The sequence below is a fragment of the Homo sapiens genome, chromosome 11 (assembly GCF_000001405.40).
Source record: "Homo sapiens chromosome 11, GRCh38.p14 Primary Assembly".
Classification (NCBI taxonomy): Eukaryota; Metazoa; Chordata; class Mammalia; order Primates; family Hominidae; genus Homo; species Homo sapiens.
Genome location: NC_000011.10, coordinates 54,345,923 through 54,353,085, shown reverse-complemented (window position 1 = coordinate 54,353,085; position 7,163 = coordinate 54,345,923). Strand labels below are relative to the sequence as shown.

Genomic DNA, 7,163 nt, shown 5'->3' with positions numbered 1-7,163 from the left:
TTCTGAGAATGCTTCTGTTTAGTTTTTATGTGAAGATGAACCCGTTTCCAACGAAATCTTCAAAGAGGTCCACATATCCACTTGCAGATTCCAAAGAAAGGGAGTTTCAAAACTGCTCCGTCAACAGGATTGTTCAACTCTGTGAGTTGAATGCAGTCCTCACAGGAAACATTCTGAGAATGCTTCTGTCTAGGTTTGATGTGAAGATATACCCGTTTCGAAGGAAGACCACAAAGTGGTGCAAATATCCACTTGCAGATTCTACAGAAAGAGTGTTTGAAAGCTGAACTATGAAACGAAGGTTCAGCCTGTGAGTTGAATGCAAACATCACAAAGAAGTTTCGGAGAATGCTTCCGATTACTTCTGGGAAGTTTATCCCCTTTCCAACGAAATCCTCAGAGAAGTCCAAATTTACACTTGCAGATTCTACAGAAAGTGTGTTTGGAAACTGCACCATCAAAACGAATGTTCAGCTCTCTTAGTTAAACTCCATCGTCACAAAGAATTTTCTGAGAGTGCTCCTGTCTAGTTCTTATATGAAGTTCTTTCCTTTACTACCATAGGCCTCAAAGCGGTCCAAATCTCCACTTGCAGATTCTGCAGAAAGAGTGTTTCCAAACTGCTCTCTCAAAAGGAATGTTCAACTCTGTGAGTTGAATGCTATCATCACAGAGTCGTTTCTGAGAGTGCTTCTGTGTAGTTTTTACGAGAAGATATTTCCTTTTCCACCACCATCCCCAAAGCCCTCCAAATGTCCACCTGCAGATTCTAGAAAACGAGCGTTTCAAAGGTGCTGTATCAGAGGGAATCTTCAACTCTGTGAGGTGAATGCAAACATCACAAAGAAGTTTCTGAGAATGCTTCGGTTTAGCTTTTATGTGAAGTTTATCCCATTTCCAACGAAATCTTCGAAGAGGCCCAAATATCCACGGGCCGATCCCACAGAAAGACTGTTTCGAAACTGCTGTTTCAAACGGAATCTTCAACTCTGTGAGTTGAATGTAATCACCACAAAGAAGTTTCTGACAATGCTTCTCTCTAGTTCTTATGTGAAGATGTTTCCTTTTCCACCACAGGCCTGGAAGCACTCCACATGTCCACTTGCAGATTCTACGAAAGGAGTGTCTCAAAACCGCTCTGTGAAAAGCGAGGTTAAACTGTGTGACTCGAACACAAACATCACAAAGAAGTTTGTGAGAATGCTTCAGTTTAGTTTTTCTGTGAAGATATTCCCGTTTCCAAAGGAATCTTCAAAGAAGTCCGCATATCCTCTTACAGATTGTACAAAAAGAGAGTTTCCAAACTGCTCAATCAAATGGAGGGTTCAACTCTGTGACCTGAATGCAATCATCACACAGAAGTTTCTGAGAATGCTCCTCTTGAGTTTTTACGTGAAGGTGTACCCGTTTCGAACGAAGGCCTCACAGTGGTCCAAATATCCACCTGCAGATTCTACCAAAAGAGTGTCTCAAAGCTGAACTATCAAAGGAAGGTTCAACTCTGTGAGTTGTATGCAAACATCACAAAGAAGTTTCGGAGAATGCTTCCGTGTAGTTCTGGGAAGTTTATCCCGTTTCCAACGCAATCCTCAGACGAGGTCCGAATATCCACCTGCAGATCCTACAAAAAGTGTGTTTGGAAACTGCTCCATCTAAAGGAATGTTCAGCTCTCTCAGTTAAATGCAATCATCGCAAAGAATTTTCTGTGAATGCTTCAGTTTGGTTTTTATGTGAAGTTATTTCCTTTACTTCCGTAGGTCTCAAAGCCGTCCAAATCTCCGATTGCAGATTCTACAAAAAGAGTGTTTACAAACTGTTCTATCCATAGGAATGTCCAACTCTGTGAGTCCGATGCAATCATCACAAAGTGGTTTCTGAGAATGCTTCTATCTAGTTTTTATGTGAAGATATTTCCTTTTCCACCGCAGGCCTCAAAGCCCTCCAAACGTCCACTTGCACATTCTAGAAAAAGAGTGTTTCATAGCTGCTCTTTCAAGAGGAAAGTTCAACTCTGGAAGTTGAACACAAACATCACAAAGTAGTTTCTGAGAATGCTTCTGTTTAGTTTTTCTGTGAAGATGAACCCGTTTCCAACGAAATCTTCAGAGAGGTCCACACATCCACTTGCAGATTCCAAAGAAAGAGAGTTTCAAAACTGCTCCATCAACAGGATTGTTCACCTCTGTGAGTTGAATGCAGTCATCACAGGAAACATTCTGAGAATGCTTCTGTCTAGGTTTGATGTGAAGATATACCCGTTTCGAAGGAAGGCCACAAAGTGGTGCAAATATCCACTTGCAGATTCTGCAGAAAGAGTGTTTGAAAGCTGAACTATGAAAGGAAGGTTCAACCCTGTGAGTTGAATGTAAACATCACAAAGAAGTTTCGGAGAATGCCTCCGATTACTTCTGGGAAGTTTATCCCCTTTCCAACGAAATCCTTAGAGAAGTCCAAATTTACACTTGCAAATTCTACCAAAAGTGTGTTTGGAAACTGCTCCATCAAAACGAATGTTCAGCTCTCTGAGTTAAACTCCATCGTCACAAAGAATTTTCTGAGAGTGCTACTGTCTAGTTCTTATATGAAGTTCTTCCCTTTACTACCATAGGCCTCAAAGCGGTCCAAATCTCCACTTGCAGATTCGACAGAAAGAGTGTTTCCAAACTGCTCTCTCAAAAGGAATGAATGTCCAACTCTGTGAGTTGAATGCTATCATCACACAGTCGTTTCTGAGAGTGCTTCTATATAGTTTTTATGAGAAGATATTCCCTTTTCCACCACAGTCCACAAAGCCCTCCAAATGTCCACCTGCAGATTCTAGAAAACGAGCGTTTCAAAGGTGCTGTATCAGAGGGAAAGTTCGACTCTGTGAGGTGAATGCAAACATCACAAAGAAGTTTCTGAGAATGCTTCGGTTTAGCTTTTATGTGAAGTTTATCCCATTTCCAACGAAATCTTCGAAGAGGTCCAAATATCCACTGGCCGATCCCACAGAAAGAGTGTTTTGAAACTGCTGTTTCAAACGGGATCTTCAACTCTGTGAGTTGAATGCAACCATCACAAAGACGTTTCTGACAATGCTTCTCTCTAGTTCTTATGTGAAGATGTTTCCTTTTCCACCACAGGCCTGGAAGCGCTCCACATGTCCACTTGCAGATTCTACGAAAGGAGAGTCTCAAAACCGCTCTGTGAAAAGCGAGGTTAAACTGTGTGACTTGAGCACAAACATCACAAAGAAGTTTGTGAGAATGCTTCAGTTTAGTTTTTCTGTGAAGATATTCCCGTTTCCAAAGAAATCTTCAAAGAAGTCCGCATATCCTCTTACAGATTCTACAAAAAGAGAGTTTCCAAACTGCTCAATCAAATGGAGGGTTCAACTCTGTGACCTGAATGCAGTCATCACACAGAAGTTTCTGAGAATGCTTCTCTTGAGTTTTTACGTGAAGGTGTACCCGTTTCGAACGAAGGCCTCACAGTGGTCCAAATATCCACCTGCAGATTCTACCAAAAGAGTGTCTCAAAGCTGAACTATGAAAGGAAGGTTCAACTCTGTGAGTTGTATGCAAACATCACAAAGAAGTTTCGGAGCATGCTTCCGTGTAGTTCTGGGAAGTTTATCCCGTTTCCAATGCAATCCTCAGAGAGGTCCGAATATCCACCTGCAGATCCTACAAAAAGTGTGTTTGGAAACTGCTCCATCTAAAGGAATGTTCAGCTCTCACAGTTAAATACAATCATCGCAAAGAATTTTCTGTGAATGCTTCCGTTTGGTTTTTATGTGAAGTTATTTCCTTTACTTCCGTAGGTCTCAAAGCCGTCCAAATCTCCAATTGCAGATTCTACAAAAAGAGTGTGTACAAACTGTTCTATCCATAGGAATGTCCAACTCTGTGAGTCCGATGCAGTCATCCCAAGGTGGTTTCTGAGAATGCTTCTATCTAGTTTTCATGTGAAGATATTTCCCTTTCCACCACAGGCCTCAAAGCCCTCCAAATGTCCACTTGCACATTCTAGAAAAAGAGCGTTTCATAGCTGCTCTTTCCAGAGGAAAGTTCAATTCCGGAAGTTGAACACAAACATCACAAAGTAGTTTCTGAGAATGCTTCTGTTTAGTTTTTATGTGAAGATGAACCCGTTTCCAACGGAATCTTCAAAGAGGTCCACATATCCACTTGCAGATTCCAAAGAAAGGGAGTTTCAAAACTGCTCCATTAACAGGATTGTTCAACTCTGTGAGTTGAATGCAGTCCTCACAGGAAACATTCTGAGAATGCTTCTGTCTAGGTTTGATGTGAAGATATACCAGTTTCGAAGGAAGGCCACAAAGTGGTCCAAATATCCACTTGCACATTCTACAAAAAGAGTGTTTGAAAGCTGAACTATGAAAGCAAGGTTCAACTATGTGAGTTGAATGCAAACATCACAAAGTAGTTTCTGAAAATGCTTCCGATTACTTCTGGGAAGTTGATCCCCTTTCCAACGAAATCCTCGGAGAAGTCCAAATTTCCACTTGCAGATTCTACCAAAAGTGTGTTTGGAGACTGCTCCATCAAAACGAATGTTCAGCTCTCTGAGTTAAACTCCATCGTCACAAAGAATTTTCTGAGAATGCTACTGTCTAGTTCTTATATGAAGTTCTTCCCTTTACTACCATAGGCCTCAAAGCGGTCCAAATGTCCACTTGCAGATTCGACAGAAAGAGTGTTTCCAAACTGCTCTCTCAAAAGGAATGAATGTCCAACTCTGTGAGTTGAATGCTATCATCACAGAGTCGTTTCTGAGAGTGCTTCTATGTCGTTTTTATGAGAAGATATTCCTTTTCCACCACAGTCCACAAAGCCCTCCAAATGTCCACCTGCAGATTCTAGAAAACGAGCGTTTCAAAGGTGCTGTATCAGAGGGAAAGTTCGACTCTGTGAGGTGAATGCAAACATCACAAAGAAGTTTCTGAGAATGCTTCGGTTTAGCTTTTATGTGAAGTTTATGCCATTTCCAACGAAATTGCCAAAGAGGTCCAAATATCCACTGGCCGATCCCACAGAAAGAGTGTTTCGAAACTGCTGTTTCAAACGGAATCTTCAACTCTGCGAGTTGAATGCAATCATCACAAAGAAGTTTCTGACAATGCTTCTCTCTAGTTCTTATGTGAAGATGTTTCCTTTTCCACCACAGGCCTGGAAGCGCTCCACATGTCCACTTGCAGATTCTACAAAAGGAGTGTCTCAAAACCGCTCTGTGAAAAGCGAGGTTAAACTGTGTGACCCGAACACAAACATCACAAAGAAGTTTGCGAGAATGCTTGAGTTTAGTTTTTCTGTGAAGATATTCCCGTTTCCAAAGGAATCTTCAAAGAAGTCCGCATATCCTCTTACAGATTCTACAAAAAGAGAGTTTCCAAACTGCTCAATCAAATGGAGGGTTCAACTCTGTGACCTGAATGCAATCATCACACAGAAGTTTCTGAGAATGCTTCTCTTGAGTTGTTACGTGTAGATATACCCGTTTCGAACGAAGGCCTCACTGTGGTCCAAATATCCACCTGCAGATTTTACAAAAAGAGTGTCTCACAGCTGAACTACGAAAGGAAGGTTCAACTCTGTGAGTTGTATGCAAACATCACCAAGAAGTTTCGGAGAATGCTTCCGTGTATTTCTGGGAAGTGTATCCCGTTTCCAACGAAATCCTCAGAGAGGTCCGAATATCCACTTGCAGATCCTACAAAAAGTGTGATTGGAAACTGCTCCATCGAAAGGAATGTTCAGCTCTCTCAGTTAAATGCGATCATCACAAAGAATTTTCTGTGAATGCTCCGTTTGGTTTTTATATGAAGTTATTTCCTTTACTCCCCTAGGTCTCAAAGCAGTCCAAATCTCCAATTGCAGATTCTACAAAAAGACTGTTTACAAACTGTTCTATCCATTGGAATGCCCAACTCTGTGAGTCCGATGCAATCATCACAAAGTAATTTCTGAGAATGCTTTCTATCTAGTTTTCATGTGAAGATATTTCCCTTTCCACCGCAGGCCTCAAAGCCCTCCAAATGTCCACTTGCACATTCTAGAAAAAGAGCGTTTCATAGCTGCTCTTTCCAGTGGAAAGTTCAATTCCGGAAGTTGAACACAAACATCACAAAGTAGTTTCTGAGAATGCTTCTGTTTAGTTTTTATGTGAAGATGAACCCGTTTCCAACGAAATCTTCAAAGAGGTCCACAAATCCACTTGCAGATTCCAAAGAAAGGGAGTTTCAAAACTGCTCCGTCAACACGATTGTTCAACTCTGTGAGTTGAATGCAGTCCTCACAGGAAACATTCTGAGAATGCTTCTGTCTAGGTTTGATGTGAAGATATACCCGTTTCGAAGGAAGGCCACAAAGTGGTCCAAATATCCACTTGCAGATTCTACAGAAAGAGTGTTTGAAAGCTGATCTATGAAAGGAAGGTTCCACCCCGTGAGTTGAATGCAGACATCACAAAGAAGTTTCGGAGAATGCTTCCGATTACTTCTGGGAAGTTTATCACGTTTCCAACGAAATCCTCAGAGAAGTCCAAATTTCCACTTGCAGATTCTACAAAAAGTGTGTTTGGAAACTGCTCCATCAAAACGAATGTTCAGCTCTCTGAGTTAAACTCAATCGTCACAAAGAATTTTCTGAGAGTGCTACTGTCTAGTTCTTATATGAAGTTCTTCCCTTTACTACCATAGGCCTCAAAGCGGTCCAAATCTCCACTTACAGATTCGACAGAAAGAGTGTTTTCAAACTGCTCTCTCAAAAGGAATGAATGTCCAACTCTGTGAATTGAATGCTATCATCACAGAGTCGTTTCTGAGAGTGCTTCTATGTAGTTTTTATGAGAAGATATTCCCTTTTCCACCACAGTCCACAAAGCCCTCCAAATGTCCACCTGCAGATTCTAGAAAACGAGCATTTCAAAGTGCTGTATCAGAGGGAAAGTTCGACTCTGTGAGGTGAATGCAAACATCACAAAGAAGTTTCTGAGAATGCTTCGGTTTAGCTTTTATGTGAAGTTTACCCCATTTCCAACGAAATCTTCAAAGAGGTCCAAATATCCACTTGCGGATCCCACAGAAAGGGTGTTTCGAAACTGCTGTTTCAAAAGGAATCTTCAACTCTGTGAGTTGAATGCAGTCATCACAAAGAAG

At 41.3% G+C, this 7,163-nt stretch overlaps 1 annotated feature.

Annotated features, from left to right (window-relative positions):
• Positions 1-7,163: part of a centromere (Linear centromere model derived predominantly from reads generated in PMID: 17803354. This region does not represent an actual centromere sequence, as long-range ordering of repeats and unmapped WGS contigs is not provided by the model. For details of model production, see http://arxiv.org/abs/1307.0035.) that runs on past both edges of the window.